The sequence below is a fragment of the Homo sapiens genome, assembly GCF_000001405.40.
Source record: "Homo sapiens chromosome 16 unlocalized genomic scaffold, GRCh38.p14 Primary Assembly HSCHR16_RANDOM_CTG1".
Lineage (NCBI taxonomy): Eukaryota > Metazoa > Chordata > Mammalia > Primates > Hominidae > Homo > Homo sapiens.
Window position 1 is genome coordinate 11,132 of NT_187383.1, and position 21,234 is coordinate 32,365.

General features: G+C 44.2%; 1 protein-coding gene and 1 long non-coding RNA gene across 4 annotated transcripts; one reads left to right on the top strand and one right to left on the bottom strand.

The window, feature by feature from the left end:
- The first annotated feature begins 6,064 nt into the window (after nucleotides 1–6,064).
- Nucleotides 6,065–8,711, top strand: LOC102723655 (TP53-target gene 3 protein). Of its 3 annotated transcripts, XM_017030124.2 has the most exons (3): nucleotides 6,103–6,494; nucleotides 7,165–7,453; nucleotides 7,674–8,702. In XM_017030124.2, exons 1-2 carry the CDS (start codon nucleotides 6,133–6,135, stop codon nucleotides 7,304–7,306), a joined length of 504 nt encoding a protein of 167 aa, XP_016885613.1. In that variant the 5' UTR covers nucleotides 6,103–6,132; the 3' UTR covers nucleotides 7,307–7,453; nucleotides 7,674–8,702. The 3 variants fall into 3 exon arrangements, with proteins under 3 accessions (NP_001355166.1, XP_016885613.1, XP_006724967.1); NM_001368237.2 differs by lacking the exon at nucleotides 7,165–7,453 and having other exon boundaries at nucleotides 6,065–6,494; nucleotides 7,666–8,711; XM_006724904.4 differs by lacking the exons at nucleotides 7,165–7,453; nucleotides 7,674–8,702 and adding an exon at nucleotides 6,600–6,665.
- A 4,507-nt stretch (nucleotides 8,712–13,218) lies between these two features.
- LOC124905329 (uncharacterized) lies at nucleotides 13,219–20,287 on the bottom strand. Its single transcript, XR_007068544.1, has 3 exons — nucleotides 17,849–20,287; nucleotides 16,537–17,000; nucleotides 13,219–16,332 (listed from the first exon to the last, which is right to left on the bottom strand). It is a non-coding gene; the product is annotated as an uncharacterized LOC124905329 (long non-coding RNA).
- Nucleotides 20,288–21,234: the final 947 nt, after the last annotated feature.

The window sequence follows — 21,234 nt, forward strand, 5'->3', positions numbered from 1 at the left end:
CATGAGGTTTCCCTCTTCTGGGGCCCCACTTTTTGGACTGCTGTATGATCTCTGGAGGTTTGATGAGTCCACACCAAGCAAAAGTGGACAGCAGTGTTCTACCTGTGAACACTTGTTTCTTGTAGGCCCTACTGTCTCTCAGGGCACCACCTCTCTTATCCTTTAAACAGGAGTGATATTGGCAGAGAAGGGGCATTCACTCCTATCTGGCAGAAAAGGAGGATTCAGGCCCTTTAACCTCCCTAAGGTCAGAAAAGTCAGAGCCCTCAGAGATGCACTTGCAATGTGGCAGCCACTGGGCACAGGGGCTACTGAACAACTGTATTGTGCCCAGCATGAACTAAGATATGCTGGGGAGAAATACAAGAAAATATTTAAATATTTAGTTACATATACATATGTGCATAAAAATATATAATGCTGGGTTAAAGAAACATATGTCTATGTGTGTGTACGTATATATGTACACATATATATGTTTCTTTAATTATTTCATTCTGATTATATGTTAAAATATTTCAGATATATTGAGCTATGTTGTTAACATCAATTTCACTCATTTTTCTTTTTCTTTATGCTGCTACTAGCAAATTCTAATTGTCACATGTGGCTCACATTTTACTTCTATTGCACATTGGTGCAATAGAGGATTGCCTAATTTCAAAGCTCAGTTTGCCTCAAAAGCCAAGAGGCCAGAAAGATTGTAAAATCTAAAAATTAAAAATAATTGTAATTGGTTGGGCATGGTGGCTCATGCCTGTTATGCTAGCACTTTGGGAGGCCGAGGCAGGCGGATCACTTGACCTCGGTTCGAAACCAGCCTGGTCAACATGGTGAAACCATGTCTCTACTAAAAATACAAAAATTAGCTGGGCAACATGGTGGGTGCCTGTATCCCAGCTACCTGGGAGGGTGAGGCAGAAGAATCACTTGAACCTGGCAGGCGGAGGTTGCAGTGAGCCAATATCTCATCACTGTACTCGAGCCTGGGTGACAGAGTGAGACTCTGTCTCAAAAAAATGTAAATAAAAATAAAAATAATTGTTATTATTTTGTTTCTATTTTGAATAATACACACACACACCCCTCCCCCTTCACACACACACAAATAAGGCAGAGAAAGAAAGAGAGAATCTTGTTCTGTCACCCAGGCTGCAGTGCAGTGGCCTGATCTCAGCTCACTGCAGCCTCTACCTCCCAGGCTTAAGTGACCCTCCCACCTCTGCCTCCCAAGTAGCTGGGACCACAGACACGTGTGACCATGCCTGGCTAATTTTTTCATTTTTTTGTAGAAAAGTTTTGATGTGGGGCCCTCACATTCTGTTGCCCAGGCTGGTCCCAAACGCCTGGATTCAAGAGCTTCTGTCCCCTCAGCCTACCAAAGTGCTGGTATTAAAGGTGAGATCCACTATGCCTGGCCACATATATACAACTTATAAATAAAAATAACCTTATATACAAGGTTAAATGCAAATATCCCACAGTGAAGGCCGGGCTTCAGCATAAGGAGGAAGTCCTGCCTGAAAAAGGCTGCGGCTTGGAACATTTTACCCTGTTGTCATCTGGCTACGAGTTGGCTCACATCTTCTCTCATTCAGAACCTGAAGGGGTGGGGCCTGGGGCCGTATTATCCAATCACTAGTGCTGGGGTAAAAACTGTCTTAAAACTATTCTTTTAATGCTTAGCAATACTAATTTTTAGTGAGAAACTTAAGATTACTTAATTTAACATAACCAGACTTTAAGATTTTAAATTACTAAAAAAAAAAAAAAGAAACTTAAAATGATGACAGAGTTACTTCCTCTAATGTTTTTTGGTGAGGGTTTCAAATACCTATGTCATATATTGAAACCTACAGTTCTATAAGCCCTACCCTTAAATCAAAACAACCCTGATGCTATTGTGAACAGGTACTTAGCACAAATCCTACCCTTAGGCAAATTTATATAGTGATTTCAATTGTCCTTCACATTCCCTTTCCTGTGATAAGTGTCTGGGTTTAGGGGGTCACAGTGTGAGGTTCCACCATCTTCAGCTATCTGAGACATAGCTTCTATTAATAAATGTTCCTCTTAAATGTTTCTTTCTGAGAAACTTGATTTGTCAGCCTCATTCTTCAAACTCTCAGCTCCTTTGGCCTTTAAAGGTAGGTTTATATATATATATATACTCACAAGAAAACACCCTCATATATATAGTCTGTCAATTTCTCAAACATTGTTATGTGGTTCATGACTGTAATGTGTGCCACATGTAGTTTTGTACATGAATAGTATATTTTTTATAGCTACTTTCTATTACACATCACTAAAATACATGTTCAGTAAGTGCTCACTTAACATCATTGATAGGTCCCTGGAAACTGACTTTAAGTGAAACAAAATACTATATGCCATGGAAAATTAACTCTTGTTTATATCAATTAGCCAATGGTAAAATTGGTTTTATTATATAGTACATTGTTTTACTTAAAGTCACAGTTTCTGAGAATCTATCAAAAAAGGGAGAACATACTGTCATTAGTATTACAGTATATGGTACATTATAGCATTACACTATTATAGTATGTTATTGTAGTCTTAGCAATTGGTAGTATAATGTGTTTCAGTTTCTCCCAAGGTCACAGAATTATCCAGACCAACCAATAACAACTTCCTGTGGGAACCAGGTGCATCTCACCCTCTTGATACTACAAAGCCTTCCCCAACACCCCCTGTTTGTTCTCTCTGCTCCCAAGTGCAATCCCTGTGTGGGTCTGTATACCTTATATAATTTCCTTCTTCCATGATTATATGTAACGAATAACTGCTGTCAATCTCATTTGTCCAATGATTGGTGCCATGGTTTTAACTGTTCCAGTAGTACAAGGGTGGTAATTTATCCCTCACCAATGGGGTAAAGGGGAGGCTAATCAAACAATTCACAATACAAACTGGATTAACCAACTATGACTAAGGACATCGGCTCAACTTTAACTGCTTTTGGCCTACTGATTTCATGATACATTAAAAGTCACCTCAGTCAGAGCCACCAGTTTCTGGTGGGCTTTTGCTTTGGTCTAAATAGCCATTTGTGGCCTTTATCATGAGTTGCCTTCCCTGACCACATTAAAGCACACTCATCACCTAGACATATATGGTCAGTTGACTCTGCTGCAGCCTGATGTGTCATCATATTTAGCCTTTGTTTGGCATGCAGCTTGCAAGACACTTGCCTTTCAAGGCAGTGAAAACACAGAACCTTAATCAGTGAGTACTTCAGTCCTGATTACCAAGAGTCAGGCTATATCCCTGTGGTCACTTCATCTGGTCTGCTTACCATTACTAAATGCCCGGGTAGTCATATGAACATTGCTTATTATTGCACACTCTCAGGAAAGGCCCAGGGACGGTTTTTTGTAAAATTGCAAAAAACAAAAAGGACTTTTACTTTGGAGAGAATTATGCACGTCACTCAGTTGCTCTAACAAGTGCTACCGTCATGGGAGCAAGAACAGTGACCTTGTCTTTCCTGAGCTGCCGCTTCCTTTGCTCCTGTCACATGCACTCTCACGATGAGGGGCTCATTCCTTGTGCCTTATGGTTCAGGCACTGATGAGAAATAAAAAAGAGAAAGATAACTTAATATTAGTCCCTCCCAAAACTTACTGGGTAATTCTCTCATCCTAAATCCCCTACTCATCGTGTAGGCTTTTAGCACTGCTGCTTACCAGTATGCTAAAGGTGCAGACTTAGGATCAGAAGTTTGATGAACTCAAACAAAAAGACCACAATGCATATGGGTGCTAATCCCAGTGAAATGGAGTGGCAGTAAACACCTTCAACCAAAGAGAAAACAGATCACAAATAAACAAATAATGACACAACTCAAGAAACTAGAGGAGGAAGAACTTATCCCAACGTTCCCAGATAATAAAATTAGTAAAAAAAATCGGAGCAGAAATGAATACACTGAAGATTAGAAAAACAATAGAAAATGTAGAAAAATTGTAAGAGCTTGTTTTATGAAAACATGAAGTTGGCATATCTTTAGCTAGACTAAGAAATAAATGCTTAAATAAATAAAATCAGAATTAAAGGGAATACATTACAACTGGTAAAACAGAAATAAAAAAAGGTCATAAGACTGCTATGTACACAGACTCCTATGTACAATGATATCCCACCAAATGGGATAAGGGAGAAGACATGAATACATTTCTAGACAAGTACCACCCACCAAGACTGAAGCATAAAGAAATAGAAAATATGAATAGATCAGTAATGGGTAAGGAGTTTAGATCTGATGACTTTGTTGCTGAATTTTACTAAACATTTAAAAAGAACCAAATCTTTGAAAAAATTGAAGGAGGAGGAATACTTCCAAACTCATTTTATGAAGCCAGCATTACACTGATACAAAAACCAGAGATGGACATTACAAGAAAAACAATTACAGGCCAATATCCCTGATGAACATAGATGAAAAATCATCCGCAACGTAGTTGCAAATGAAATTCAAAAGCACTTTAAAAGGATCATTTATTATGATCAAGTTGGATTTATTCCTGGGATGCAATAATATTTTAATATGTGGAAATCAATAAATGCCATACTCCTTATTTACACAACAAAAAGATTAAAAATCATGACTTTTTTATGCATGCCTAAAATTATTTTGACAAAATTTAAAATCCATTCCAAATAAAATCTATAACAAATTAGGTATAGAAAGAATATACCTCAAAATAAAGAGATATGTTCTTTATAAGCTATAGGACAATCCCATGGTTAACATTATTGTCAATGGTGAAATTTTGGAATTGTTTTTAAGATTTATTATAAGAAAAAGATGCCCACTCTCACTACTTCTTTCAACACCGTATTGGAAATCCTGCTCAGAATCTAAGACAAGAGAAAAAAGAGCATTTAAATAAGAAACAACAAGTTCTTCTATTCATGGAGATTAACGCTCAGGTTTTTGCAGATTAGATTTAACAGCATGAAATCTGTACCATCCAGGAATCAAAGGATATAGGACTTTAGGGCATCAATTATTAAGAGGCTATAGGAAAGCAGAAATGCTCCTGGATGTTTCCATTGTCCACACACAAAATTTCAACAGACCAGCCCCAGGAAGTAAAGGCACATTCCTGACTACTGTTAGTTGATGAGCTTTTCACCAAAAGCAGAGATGTGAGACCTGGCAGGTTTCAAAGACCCCTCAAGTGCTCCATACCTTGAAATTCACTTCCACAAAGCTAGAACACCATCTGTTCCTGAGGGATCAGGTTATCGTCTGTTTCTTTTAGGCACTGGCCAGTCAGGCTTTAGTGGACACGAAGCCACAGATTTTTAGTGTAAAATGCCTAATCTATCATAATCTTTAGGTAGATATTTGGAGGCCTGCACACTTAAATGGGTTGGTGAAATGTCATACCAGACACATGGCTGGGAATTGGGTTTTTCTCCTCCGCTCTTAGCAGCACCTTTGTAACCCAGTGATTACCCCCCTCATGGCTCCACGGCCACATCCGCAAAAAGGGTACTGGTGAACGTGACATTTTCACGAAGCCACAGCCCATGGTCACTCCCTGCAAAGCTCTGAACTTGCGCATTCCCAGGCCAGGCCGTGGTTGTCTTTCCAAGGCGGCTCAGCTTGTGCTTTGCTTGGAGAGAGCGGAGGGCAGCAGCACAGTGACAGCGTCTGGGACCTCAGACCAGTTTCCACAGCCACTTATGAAAGCAGACGGCTCCATGGGCTGGAGGAGGTGGGACGCTCTGGAAAGAACTCGGGTGCGAGTGGGAAAGAAAATCGAGCTGAGCAGCTGGAAGTCGAAGTCGCGTGAGTGAGGACCAGACACTCTCGATTTAGGCAAAGGCGGGGTGCACTTCCCAACAACACATCCTCCTCACTGGCGAGACCAGGCCTGCCCTTCAAGTTCCTCTCCTGATTTAATCCCCTTGGCGAGGGTTTGGCATGAAATCAATGGCCAGCAAGCTTGGTAAACGAAGCCGCCTACACCGCCCTCCCCCTCCCTGCACGGCCGCGCCCCGCCTCCGCTCCTGTCTCAATCTGGGATTGTCCTCCTGTAGCCCCACCATCCACCGTGGGGAACGGTGGAGAGACTACAACTCCCAGTATGCACCGCGATGCGCGCCTCACCCTGCATCTCCCAGCCCGCAGCCAGCTGGCATCCTAGACCCTCTGCCCTGCGACCAACAGCCGGGAGCGGACCAGACACCAGAACTCCCGGAACGGTTGAAGACGGTTCCGCTCCCTGTCCCGCCTTTCGCAGCCCAGCAGTTTCGCCCTGCGGAGAGGAGCCTTGCTGTTTCCAAATCTCTCCTGCTGAAGAGACATTGGAGCTAGGGCGGCTAGTTTCACCTGGTAATTGTGACACCCTGTCTCCTCGAGCTGCAGGCTTTTATGCTTGTCATGTTCGAAGTTTGATACCTTGCAGATCAACAAAGGGCCGGTGGCCTCTCACTGCCTCCGCGGCAGGGTTGTCAAGGTAACGCTCCTCAGACAAGGGTGGGGCGCGACCCGCCCCTTTTCTCACCCCGCCTCCTCCTCAGCCCCACCCTCCTTCGCTCCTCCTCTTGTCACTCCCTTTCAGACATGCGCAGTGCGGCCCGTCCCTAGGGCTGGGTTAAGGGCCGCGGATGTGGCAGTTCTCAGGCCTCCTGGGATCGCCTCAAGAAGCCCCCTCACGAGTGTCTCGATTTCCTGTCAGCCAACAAAGGGCCGTTCGCCTTTCATGGCCTCCACAGCAGCGTTGCCGTGGTAACGATCCTCCGCCGGACGTTGGCCGCACCGCGCCGCTATTCTTGCCCATCTCCCGCTCCGCCCCGTCCCTTCTCGCTCCTCCCTCTTGTCACACCCGTTCAGACATGGGTAGTGTAGCCCGTCCCTAGCGGCGGGATAAAAGTCCTGCCCTTTCACACATGCGCAGTGCACCCATTCCTAGGGGTGGGGCTAAGGGGCCTGCCCTTTCGGAAATGCGCAGTGCAGCCCGTCCCTAGGTGTAGGGTAATGGCGGCCGACCTGGAGGCTCCTTGGGATCCCCTCGAGAAGCCCGTTCATGAGTGTCTGAAACTGTCACTTGACTGCCAGAAGTGAAAACATCGTGTCCCTAGTCACCTGCCATTTGCCTTTTCAAAACCATTTCCTCTGTTCTCTAGGCTGTCACAAATCCTCTGCACCCCAGGAGCGCCGCTTGGACCCCCGGGCTCGCTGCGTGGTCCATATCTAGGTCGGGCCTCTCACGGAGACTTTCCCACCAGTGTAATAAAGAGGAGAAAACGTCACAGCGGAAGGGCCTGACCCTGCTGCATCCACTAAGGAAACAGCTACGGGGATGGGACCCTGGGAGCTGCTGTGGAGCCTCATCCACCGCTTCTCTGACCCCACCCAGGCTGCTTCCCAGGCCTCAGGGTCTTAGTGTGGACCTCCGGGCCGTGATTAATGCAGGTCAGCAGGACCAGAGCGCCCCTTGGTCCCTCCCAACACATGAGGGTAGTTTGTGTGGTGAGGTCAGGGATAGTGTCTGCGCTTCTACCCTGAATAGGGCTCCCTTGGAAAATACTTTAATATCTCTTTTTAAATACCCCCTTGGACCACTTTTAATAGTTTTCTGATAGAACTAAACAGTGATCATTCTCTTAATTCATGTTTCCATTAAGTTTTTCAGGTTAAGTACTGCACGACTACTCGCTTCTGAAACTGATAGACACTGCCTCAGCTCCGTGCAGGGCAGACGCACAAGAGCAGAATCTCCGTGGGACATCTCTCTGGAGCATCAATATTACTGCAGTATTTGGAAGAAACAAATTTAAATAAGTTCTAAGGTGAAGAATGGAACATTTAAGACAAGTCTGGAAAGTCATCTGCCTTTAATAACTGTCGTTTGTCCTTAACGTCAGACTTTCTCCAAGACCAAAACTCTAAGAACTTATTTCCATTCTTACAAATAGTAAAAATGATAAATCATATCAAGTCAATTGAAAGTCCTGCCTGCTGCTTTCCTAAATTGCAATATGGCCTTGGTATGGTTTTATTTGTACTTTTGTGGGGGATTCGTGGATCTTTAGATTAAAAAAAAAAAAATAGGTTTTTGAACAATTTTTGCAAGTTTGCAGCTGTTAGTTATTGATTTATTTTTCCAACCCATCTAATTCTTCTGTCTCTCTCCTCTCCTCAGGCTCAATAATTCCATGGGTCTCTAAGGCTGTGTTTATTTTCTTTAAATTTTGTTGATTTACTTTTATACTCCATTTGATTTTTTCTATCTCTCACCTTTTCTCAGACTCAGTCATCCCACAGGTCTGTAAGGCTCTGTTCATTTTCTTTAAACTTCTTTTTTTTTTCCTCTCCTCAGATTGGATAAATTATATTGCTATGTCTCTGTTTCTGAACTATAGAAAAGCTCAAAATTATTATTTTTATTTCTCATTTTTTATATGGCTATTTTTTCTCTGCTGATGTTTCACATCTATTCATTTATGAGAATATTTTCCTTTGCCCTCATGAGCGTGTTTATAATAGCTGCCTTCAAATTCTTGTCTGCCGTTTACATCTTGGACATCTTGGAGATGGCTACTGCCTGCTTTTTATCTTGTGTATTTATTACATTTTCACGTGTCTTCACGCATCCCTTGAATTGGAAATTGTGCCCTGGAGACTGTATACAAGACTGGATTAAAAAGACTGGATTCTGTTTTGTCCCTGTGAAGAGTGTTGTTTTTAAAAGATGGTGTTAAATGGGCTGGATTCTATCTTCAATACTTATCTCTCCTATGGAAGTCATAGCCAAAATATGCATTCAGTTTTTATATACACATATTTCATGTATGTATTGTATATAGAAATGTTTCTATAATGATATATAATAATTTACCCAGGATTCATCATTTTTCTGTGTGAGAGTGTTAGTTCAGTTAGCTACTTCATCATTAGTGGAAGCCAGAACCTCAGTTTTGATTTTTGAGTGTAATATAAAAAATTACACAGTATGGATACTTTTACATCAATTTTTTAATGCAATATTATATTTGTGATATTTATGCTGTTACAGATATCTACAGTTTGTTCATTTAAAAAAGTCCTTTTTTACATTGTGGTAAAATATACATAAAATTAACCATTTTAACAATTTTTAAAAGTGCAGGACAGAGGAATTAATCATACTCACATTGTTCTACAACCATCATCCACATTCATAGGGAAATTTGTTCATTTTGCAAAACTCAAACTCTGTTCCCGTTACCTTCCTTTTGGCCTCTAGGAACTACTCTTCTACTTTGAGTTTCTATGAATGGAACTACTGTAAGTACCTCATATGAGTGGAATCATACAATGTAGTAAAGAAGTCACGAGGAAGAATAATACACACTGTATAACATGCTTATTAATTTAAATAAACAGAGATCAGTAGTACATGGTGATTATAGAGAAAGACAGATAAAAAAGAAAAAGCAGTTAGAAGGGTGTGTAAAATTTATCACTATGGTGTCTCAAGTTTTAGAGCAGTGAGGCCCCGGCCCCAGACACATTACTGGTCATGGTGAAGCTGGGAGCCCAGTGCAGCTGTCTGACTCCCAAAGCCAACACTCAGGCCAAATGTCACTGAGCCCTGAGGCACTCTGCCCCTGCCAGCCCAGGCACTCAATGGCCCTGAGATTCACCATGGCCTGTTCTTGGTCTTGAGGGTGTTGCTGGCCTGCTGGAATAGGGGCCCGTCTGACAAAACAAGTAGGAGGAGCTTCAGAAAATAGTGGCAGCTGTGAGGCTACCAGGAGCCACACCTCAGGCTTCCCACTGCCTGCCCAGGGTCCCCATGCAGCAGGCCTAATGTTGACCAGGGAGCTATGGCCCCAGGTTCTCTGAAGCTGGCCACAAGATAGAGTCTTCTCCTAGTCTTTGCTAATCTGCTAGGCCCTCATCTTTTATTCTGACTGTGCAGCTTCATGCACTGGAACCAAACCCCAAATTCCTCCTCAGTCAGAAGATGACGATTATCTCTTGTCACTGAAGCAGCTGCATTTCCTGGAGGACTTTGATCTGGAGACAGAAGGAAGGGCAGGATTCTGACAGGTCCTGGGTGGAAGATGACAAAGGGAACTTGTGGGGGTGTGAAGGGGTAGGGACAATTTCTAGGGCCTTTCTTTTAAGGGGTCCTACCCTCCCCTCCAATCCCATGTAGCCCCAACCTGTTCTCAAGAGTTGGATATAAACAGTCCCTCCTCTAGGAGTTTATCATTGATTCTATTCCCCTAATCAAACCCTCCATTGGGATGGGGCTCCTGCTTCTCTGTGTATCAAACCTTCCCAATAAATCTAAGATGCAGAGGATGGAGCCAAGGAGTGTCTTCCTCAGGGTGGTGTCTGACTTTCACATCCCCACCCTCCCTCAAAGCGACAGCGCCAGCTGCTCACCTTCTTCCTTTATTAGTGTTGATTATATGTTCTTAGGAGGTAGACAGCCAAGATTCATGAGAAAGGCTTCCTGACACAGGACTAGACCTCATCCCTTATACTTCCTATGCTGCACCACCACCAGGGCCACCAGGGTCAGAGCATGTGCATAAAACAGGACTTAGACCTGCATCAGGTTCTGGGCTCCACAGAAGGGACACTGAGGCTCAGTGACCTTTCTCCCTGATTCTCTGTGATGATAGGGAGACAAAGGCCTTGGAAACAAAGAAGTTACTCAACAATTTAGGACCTGCCTGTCTTAGGAGGGGCCCAATTTCTCTCTTCTGCAATGGGTACCAGCTAAGGCAGAGGCTGAGACTTAGCTCTGCAGCTTTACTACTCAAGGAACAGGAAATGGTGTCTTTGCTGGAGGCTCCGTCACTCATAGATAAGACGGAACTGACACTGCCATTTACAGGGGCATCTGGTAGGCTCTCAGGAAAGGGGTTTGCTGAGTGCTGCAGTCTCAGGATTCAGTCCAGGACTCTGTCCTCGCAAGCTTCAGGATCCTGGTCCCCACCCTGCCTGCCTGCCCCAGTCTCACTCACATCTCTATAATCCTCTATGGCAATTTCCAGCATCTGCAGGTTGTTGAGAAGTGTGCCCGGGGTGGGGGGTGGGGGGGAGGGGAGTGGGGGCACAGCAGCCTGTGTTATCAAGGTGGTAGCAGTGATGAGCACCAATTCTCAGCTAACTGCACAAGACCTCTCCTTTGAACTCTCACCAACCTATTTCTCCTTGACCCCCGTACCCAAGTCTCTCACTCAGAGCATCCAAGGACCTTTCACCTCCTTGCCCAAAATCTTTCCCTCCTCTTTCCACAGCTGACCTCCAAAGACGCTAAGCACTTCTTAGTTACCTCTATGGTGTGATTTTAATAAATCACAAAGTCAGATCGTCCCCACCCTCACTCTTCGTCTAATCTACTCTGAGCCTAGCTCTCCCAGGCCCTTTCTCTAGTCTCTCTAATGAAGGCATTCCAAGCATTGTGGCCACAGGAGGGCAGGGCTGGAGGAGGAAGACACCCAGGTCTCTTGATGTGGAGAACTCCAGCTGGGAGGGAGGAGCCCTGTCCTTGACTCTCTGGAGCCCCTCCCTACCATAGGCCAATTCACCTGCTGCTGCAGCCCCATCTGGACTCTTTAAAAAGGTTCCTACCTAGTAGAGTCAGAAACAGGGTCAGTGAGACTGTGCCTGTCTCACAGTTACACTCCAGCCCCAGCGACCTCAGATCTTGGATAACTGCCTGAGTCAGCCGGTGTAATGCTCCCACCAGCTCCAGTGAGTCCTGATTCTAGATTTACTCCCAGCTTTAACACTCACTGTGTGTGTAACCTTGGGCATGCAGCCAGGCCTTCCTGAAACTGTTTTTTCATCTAGGAAGTGTGATGAGAACAACACCTTCCTCACAGTACCTCCTGAGGACTCAGTTGCATGTGGCTATCACCATTGTTCTCACCATCATCCCTCTCAGGAAGAGGTGGGCACAAGAATTCTGAAGTTTCCTTCATCCTTTGCCCCTTATCATGACCCTGTGAGGCCTGCACAACAGGCTTTCTGCATTTTCCAGTTGAGGAGACAGGCCCAAAGAGGGTGTTGACTTGCCCAGGAGCCCACAGGAGAGGCTGTCTTCTCCTCCCACCTGAAGAGTCTGCCCTACCTGGCTTCACACCACACACCAGCACCATCACTGACCAGGGTCCCATCCTCTGGACTCTGGGATAGATGTTCACATCCCAATCCAGGCCCAGCTGTGGTGGAAAGAAACCTGGTATCTTGGGAGGCCTGGTTGAGCAGTGCCAGCTTGTCCCAGCTTCACTGGAATTGCTATCCCACAAATTGGGTTTGAGGCTATGAAGAAGACTTCACCTCTTCGATGATCCACCGAGAGAGATTCCCACACAGAGCTCTCTCTTTATCCACTCCCTGCAGTTGGCCTGCCAGTGAAATCACACCTGTGCAGTAGTCAGGCCTCCTGGCCCACCCGCCAGCTGCCAGCCTCCAGTGTCTCTGATACCCATGGGTAATCATGCCTTCCTTGGCAAGGCTGCTGAGATTCAGAAGGACCTAAACAGATCTTTGGCTCAGATGGGTTGCTTCAGCCTTGTGTCCTTGGCCATCTTCCCTTGCCTTCCGAAGGTCCCTGCCAGCCTCACTGTACCAAGCCCTGACCCTAGCGGTCTCTCCGTGGGGACCACATCTCACCCACCCTCCATTGCCAGGGCTCCTGCTCAGCTCTTCTCACTTTCCCAGGACAAGCCTGGCTTCACAGACACATCTAGATCCAGCGCTTTTCTCTTTGTGGTGTTCAAAGAAAGAGTATTATTTTTTTCTCTAAATTGACCTATAACCTACTTATTTTGAAGATGTCCAGGCTGCAGGAGATCTCTACCCATCTACCCAGAAGGCATCAGCCCTTGCTTCAGTACCTTCTCATTCCACTCTGTCACTAAATGTTTATGACCTCAAGAAAATTTGAAGAAGCATAAGCAAGTGCAATTCCATTGGTACCAGGGCTGTAAGGGCGGGGCCAGATGGGTGAACCTCACTGGGGATAAATAGAAATTGTGTACAAGATGGACATTTCAAGGTTGGTTTCAAGAAACGCAGGGAAAACTAACTTTCATAGGTGACAGTATGCACAAGTTAAGCTTCCTAACAGCCACAAGTTCACAGGTTCTTCTATCTAAATGTGGCAATGTGTGACGATGTCTGAATGGCCATAATACACATACATAGAGTAATTTATAGCATTCATTTTTGTATTAGAAATTGTGCATTTCAGCCACAAGTTTTTTGTACATGATGGATAGTCCCACATTGCTTGAAGATTGGAAGAGAGAGCACTTTATGAAATGTCCTTTTGGACACATTTTCATTGACGTTTCTATGTCCCAAGAGGCAATGAGACAAGTCATGATAAACTGGCCGTGTCTTCTGGGGTTACACCTGAACTTCTTGGTGTCAGGACCGAGGAAACCAAGGACACAGATATGCCAAAGGTGAGGTTAGAGCAAAAGTTTAATGGGTGAGAAAAAGAGAACAGCTCTCTGCTGCAGAGAGGGATCCAGAAAAAAAGAGTTGCCATTCTGCAGTGAAATACAAGTGTTTTTATAGATGAGCTAGTGGGAGGGGGTATGTTATCCACATAGGGCATGAAAAAGTGGTTAGGACCAGGTGTGTCATCTGCTTAGAGCATGAATCTCTGGCAGCTCACACCCCAACCTTTTATTATGCAGGCAGATTCTCAGCCTGAGCTACTCCAAGTTGCTTATCTCTTTTCTACTGTGCATATGCTACAAAGAGGGGTGGGGCCCCCCATGTTGGATATGTCTGGCCCAAGGTGGTCATTTCTACCCATGCAGCTGCAGGCATCCCTGCCCACACAAGCTTCCAGCTTCCTTTTGTATGATTGCAGCCCAATTTTCCAGGCTGCTCTTTGTTAAAGAGAAGTGAATTCCTGGGTTGCTTTCTGTTAGAAGGGACGTTCTGTTGAGAACTCTTTGCTCTATCTGCCTAGCTAGTTTCTTTCTACATCTGCTCTCAATGACAATTATTCAGTTTTAATGGGGTCCTGGGGGTGGGAACAGATAAATTTGAGACCACAAAGTACCTTAGAATAAGAATTCACCCTTTAGTCAGCTTTAGTGTGAGTTGCACATCTATTATAATATTGGCTTCATGCACTACTGAATATAACAAGAAGGGAAAATGTGTATCTTTTAAAAATCTAGATGACAAATGGACTTTCCACAGATTCTTTGTGTGTTCCTGATTTAGAACTTGTTCATTCCACTGTAGTTTGTTTTCATTGAAATCACCAACTGATGAGGAAGCCTAGGCTGGCAAGCAGGACACGGTGGATTATTTGCAGGAAAGGTGTTTTTGTGGGGACCCTAAAGGGTCAGGCACTGCAGCCCACAGGAAAGCCTCAGCCATGATTCTCTGTGGCGTTGCCCTGGTGGGGTAAGGCAGCCATGCAAAGCTCTGATTCCCTGTCCTGAAGGGTGACATTGGCCGGGCAAGCCCCAGCCTTCAGGAAAAAAGGACAGACAAGGGAGTGCTTCACGTTCCGGCCTTGTTCCGGCCTTGTCATGAGCTCCACCGGCAGCCTGCAGTGGGGCACAGCTTCTAGGTGCCTGGTCAGCTCTGGTCCTTCAGGAGGTGAAAATGACTTTTCTCCTGGATTCTCTGCCCTGTTGGCTGGGCCTGGGAAGGACTCAAGGTCTGCATGGCAGTTTCTGAGTCTCCAGCACCCAGCTGTCTCATTGTGATGATGACAGGGAGAATGGCCAGAAGTACCGGGGTGGGGAAAACGAAGAGCCAGCAGGAGAAGGCGAGCTTCCAGAAAGCCCCACCACAAATGCTTAGTGCCTGGGTAGGCACAGGGATTGCTGGGTTTTGCCTGGGAGCAAGTCCATAGGCCCTGCTGGAGATTGCCAAGATAACCACCCCCTGCCAGAGGTCACCAGGGATTGCCTGAAAACCTTCGGAAATGGTGCATGCCCCTATTGCTCAAAAACTGGAAGAAGCTGCAGCCTCAGCAGGTTATCCAGGCCACTGAGTGGGGCAGCGGGCCTACACTGAGTGCACTCCTACATTGGCAGTAGGCAGCTCTCCTGACCCATCCACCAGCTGTCTGCCTCCAGTGAGCAAGATCTTCAAGGCTGATCAGACCTCCAGTTGGCAGGGCTGATGAGATTCAGTGCGACCTGGTCAGATCTTTGGCCCAGATGAGTCACTTGAGTTTCAGTGTCCTGGACCAACTTTCCTGGACTTCAGAGGGCCCCTGCCAGCCTGAGTGAGCCAGGCTTGGCTGCATCTTCCTGGGAGCCCCATCTCACCTGCCCTCCATCCCCAGGGCTCCTGCTCAGCACTTCTTACTTTCCCAGGACAAGCCTGGCTCCAACAGACATCTCTAGATGCTGTGTTTCTCTTTGTGGTGAGCAAAGAAACAGAATGAGTTCCATTTTTTAATTTTTTTCTAATTTTACCTATAACTTATTTATTGTAAAAAGGTTTGGGCTGCAGGAGACCTGACCCACCCACGCAGGAGGCCTCAGTAGCCTCCCAATCCACCCTGTTACTAAATATTTCCACTCCTAACAATATAGGGGGAAGCAGGAGCAAGTGCAGTTTCACTGCACCAGTGCTGTGAGGATGGGGCCAGAAGGGTCCTGCCCAGTAGGATTCAATAGGAATTATATAGAAATAAACATCTCAATGTTTGTTTGGACGGATTGACATGGAGAAATTTAATTTTGATAGGTTCTAGTACACAGAAGTTAAGCTTCCTAACAGCCATGAGTTTACAGCTTCCTCTTTCTGAATTTGGCAGTGTTTTTTGATGTCCAAATTGCCACGATGTCCACACATATTTACAATAGTTTATATTATTCATTTTGTATTACTAATTGTGCACTTTGGCCAACAGTGTTTCATACATCATGGTTGGTTTCCAACCTTGCTTGAAAATTGGAAGTGACAGCCCTTTATGGAATGTTGCTTTTGACACTCTTCCATTTAAGGCTCTGTGTCCCCACAGTGCTACGAAGACAAATAGTCATCACTCTTCCATTTTGAGGGGGCCAGGGTAAGCAGGTGCAATTTGAGAATACAAAGTACCTTGGAAACAGAATCATCTTTCAATCAGTTTTAGTGTGAATTTCATTTACATTAGAATAGCCTGTTCATGCACTCACAAGATTTCAGGGAGGGACAATTGTCACCTTTGAAGAATCAAAGTGACCAACGGGCTTCCCTCAGTATTTTGTTTATTTGTTTCTGGAACTTAGTCATGCCATTGTAGATCGTTTCTTTTGGAATCACTGGGTGATGAGAAACCCCAGGCTGGAGAGCTGGACACCGTGGAGTCCCTGTGGGAGAACTGTTATTAGGGTGGCCTAACTTGGAAGGCACTACAGCCTGTGGGAAAGCAGCATCCAAGATTCTCTCTGGCGTGGCCGGGTGCTGGGTGAGGTAGCCAGCCCAACAGCTTATTCTGTTTCTGGAATGGTGACTCCCAGCCTGGGCATGGCTTCAGTTTCCAGGAAACAGGCATGGGCCAGGGAGCGCCTTACCTGTTTACTGCTGCGATGTGTGGGGCCTGTATCCGCCACTGGGCACTCCACCTCTTCAAGTGGGGTCCTGTGCATTCCTTTTGGAGGCTTCAAAAGACTTTCCTCTCTGACTCCCGGCGTCTTCACCTGGACACTGTAGGACCCCAGATCTGTGTGTTTCCCAAGTGTCTATAGCGCCAGGTGCCCCATTGTGACAGGGAAGATGACCAAATTAAGTGATTAGGGCCGTTTGAAAAAAAAGCAGGAGAGATGCTGTATGGAGGAGGCCTGACATGACTGCCTCTAGCCTGCGGCTGCTGGTGCCATGCGCAGGCCGGACTGGTCTCTGCCAGGGTGATGTGATCCGTTGTGCTGAAGATTCTCACCATTTCCTTCCTTTCCCCATCGGGGACACCTGGGTAACCAGCTGAAGCAGTAGTTCCCCATCCGGAACAAAGACTGCAGACCCTCGCATGGGCTCCAGCCTGCAGGACACAAGCGTGAGCCTTGGAGGACCCCACATACCTAGGTGGTTGTGGGCTAGACCTGTGGCCTTCGCTGGGTTCTTGACTCATTTCTGGAGTGCGAGGGTTTTGTTCTTTTTCAACTGGAGGTGGCAGATGACTGTCCTTCTGGACTTCCTATATGCTCACCTGACCCCTGCGGGACCTGAGATCATTGGGGTTCCCAGGTCTTTATGGCATCACGCCCCCATTGTGACAACAAGGAGGATGACCAAAAGTATGCCGGTGGTTGAGGAAGAGAAAAAAGAGGAGTGGAGTTGCAGGGAGGAGGCTCGAAAGGATCACCTCCAGCCTGGGGCAGCTGGATTGGCGAGTCAGGGGCTGGCTCCTGCCTGGGCAAGACAATAAGCCATGATGAACAATGCCATTATCCTCCTTTTCAGTTGGGGGTACCTGGGCATATCTGAAAACCTTGAAAAAGTGTTTGCATTTTCACAGCTTAAGAAAAGGAAGCAGCAGCAGCTACAGTGGGTTTTTCATGCCTTCCAGTGGCATTGAAGAACCTGCACTGAATGCCACCTGGAAAACAGCCTGGACCTGCACCTTTGGGCCGGGGCACCCGTGGGAGCTCAGCCCTTGCCGCCTCAACCCTTTTTGGATTCTTTTCTCCCCAGACTGTCCCAGAGTTCAGGTCTTCTCATCTCTTGTCTGCCCAGTGAAGGCACAAGGGTGGAAAGGTGAGGGTGTGGAGTCAGGAGCTTTGTTCCAGTGCTGGGCATAGTGAGAAGTCAAAAGAGAGGTTATGATCTCATTGTGCTTGAAGGGGAGAGGCCAAAGCCTAAGACATTCTGCCTTTTTAGGGGAATTACCTTTCAAGGCTTATTTGGTCTTCACTAGCCTTTACATCTGAGGATGAAGGAGTTGAGGCTCTGTTACATGGATGTCTAAAGAGATCATAACTCTCACATTGAACGACACAGAGACTGATAGCTCTAGCACAGTACCTAGGTAATGTGACTCTCTCTTGCTACGTGTGCCCTTCCTACATAAGGAAATGTGACATACCACTGGGCCAAGCACCCAGGAAATGTGACTCTCCCGCCTGTGGCCTGCCTGTATTGGGCAATGTTGTGACACATCTCAGAGCTGAGCACCTAGGTGATGTAACTCCTTTTTTGGGAGCTGTCAATGGAAGGGATTGTGACATATGTTTGGCCAATCACCTAGATGATGTGACTCTCTTGCCTATAACTCAAATTGGGGAGAAATTATATCTTGACAATATTGAGATTTTATGATCATGCACATTAAATGTCTTTCTATTTATTAAGATCTTTTGTGATCTTTCATGGCTCTTTCATTAGAAATTTGTAGTTTCCATTGTATATAGATCTGTGTGTCACAAAGGTCTATATGACAAAACTGAGACAAAGACAAACTGACGGATTCTTCCAGTTTTTGTGGATGGCTCTGGGCTGGGGCGTTCCTTTAACACATGTGCAGACTGTTGAAAACTTTGCTTCAGTCTTCACTTTCTGCTGAGCTGAGCCTGAAGGTCAGCCAGTGCTGAAAATGAGGGTCTTCTTGGGTCTTTAAGAAAATGTGTTTTTCGTGGTTATGCACAGAGTGCTTTGTCAATTTGCCAGCATACCTGGGTGCTTTTTAATAGCCTAATTTGTAAAACAAAACAAAATCTCACGTTAGCTTTTTATTCTTGGCTTTATGTGACCTATTGTATGTGTCGTCTGTAATCTGTTCTCCAGGGGGCTGCTGGCTTTCAGTTTCCTTAAAATACTCCCAAGTAACTCGTGCCAATTTTTTAAACTGATTTTTTTTTCTGACTTAGAGAAAAAAGAGAGCCTTGTTTCAGACCTCTGGATAGCCCTAATACAGATTTTAATGTAACAACACAATACTTTGCAAGTAAGACCTCCTCTTTTCCCTCTGGAACCACTGAGCAGAGGCCCATACTGGCAACTCAGGATGTTGTTTTTAAGACTGCCATCAAGTAAGGGAAGGATTTGGGCAAGGACGTGTAAAAAGTCCACGAGGCTTTTCTCCTGTTCTTCATTGTTTTTCTTGATTTTGTAGTTACATGGTTGCTGTACAACTTGATGGTTTTCAACAGGTTTTACAACATCGTTTCTGACAGTTCTGCTTGGTTTTCCCTGTTTCTGTGGAGGAGCAGGTGTTTGGAGCTGTACATTCTTGACATTTTGCTGATTTTACTCTCTCTGGGCTCTCAGTTGTATTTCATTGATCTAAATGACTTTCCTTGTGTCGTTACTACACCATCTTGATTAAGGTTGCTTTGAGGCAAATTTTGAAGTTGTAATTTGTGAGTCCTTTTATTTGGCATCTTTTTAAAGATTTTTAAAGATATTCTTAGTCCCTTTTAATTTTATATGAATTTCAGCATCAATGCTTCAGTTTTTACATGGTAGTCACCTTGAATTCTAATTGTACTGAATCTAATTGTACTGGATGTAGACTGTTTGGGGAGTTATTGTCATCATAATGTATTAAACCTACTGATTCATAAACATGGAATGGTTTCTCATTTATTTAGATCTTCAACCTCTTTCGATAAGGTTTGTAGTTTTCAGATTATAAGTTCCTTTCACATTTTTAAAAATTTATTTCTATGATTTATTATTTAATTGCTATTGTAAATGGATTTGTTTTTGCCTCAACTGCATTATTAGATATTTCATTGCAAGTGTATAGAAGTAGAATTGATTTTTGTATAATAATTTTGTACCTCTGACCTTGGTGAATACATGATCTTGGTTGCTTCCAAGTTTTGTGAAAACTACAATTAATATTGCTGTAAACTTTTTTGTGCAGGTTTTTGTGTGGACTTACATTTTCAATTCATTTGAGTAAGCTAACCTTTAGGAATTTGTTTGGAGTTCAGAAGACACCACCCTGCCACATAAGATCGAGTTAAGAAAAACTCATTTTGTGCAAATCAAGTTTATATGGGCCTATGATGAGGTTCATGGAAAAGCACTGTGTATAGTTGTGTGAATTTGAGCCCAGTGATTTATTATGTATTAATCTTGCCCTGTGTAGCAGATGTTCTAGGAGGTGCTGCAATGACTAAAACAAAACAAATAATTCTGCCCACTTGAAGCTGATATTCTAGGAAAAAATAAATATATAATACAAGTAAAATAAACAATGTGTAAGATAGTGGTTACTGCTAATGTGGGAGGAGAGTGTGGTAAAGAGAGCAGAGGTCTAAACTGGGTGTCTCTCTGAGCATTTATTTATGTGTTTCAGCTGCTAACTCTGACAGTTAACAAGCTTGCGTGTCTTTGTCTGCGTGTATCCACCTTTATGTGCAGTGAAAAGTCTGCTTTTGTATTTATGCCTGGGTGCTATGTGTGTATTTGCTTTAAAATCACTAATACTTTTATGTTCTTGCCTAATTTCCTAGCTAACAGCTTTTTTTTTACCATGTTGAATAGATGTCGTGAGAACAGACATCTTTGTCTTATTTCTGATCTTAGGTAGAAAGCATTTTGTCTTTTAACATCAAGTATGATGTTAGCTGTGGGGTTTTTATAGATGTCTTACAATATCTTTTCTATTTCCAGTTTATTTAATGTTTTTATCATGAGGAGTGTTGAAGATTTTCAAACCTTTTTACTTTGTATTTTCCCTATATTAATACCTTGCCAGATGTATTATTAGAGTATTGTTATGGAGTATGTTCTATTATTCAGAGTTGTCCTGTTACTCTATTGATAGTGTCCTCTGAGAGACACTATTTTATTTCATTTGTTTGTAGTCTCTATCCCAGTACCACACTGTTTTGAGTAACATGACTGTGAGTAACTTTTGACGTTAGGAAATTTCTCATTATGAAATTAGAGCTCTGAACATTTTTATCTCTTTTTTTTGCGATCGTTTTGACTATTCTTGGTTCCTTGAGATTCCACTTGAATTTTAGAATGTTAGTTTCTGTTTCCATTTAAAAAAAGTTATTGGGCTTTTGATTGGGATTGCACTGCATTTATAGATAATTTTAGGAGAAATTGCCACATTAGTACTTTTAAGAGAGTTTCCAAGATGGCTTACTGGATGCAGCCAGCAAGTGTTGCTCCCAAAGAGAAAGACCACAATTTTGACTACATCAACATAGTTTGAATAGATATTTGGAGAGAAAATGGATAGTGTGGATGGAGAAAAGGTGCGTTTTCTAAGACTGAAGAGCAAGGAAGCTGGGGTGCCCTTATGGGGTGCCTGA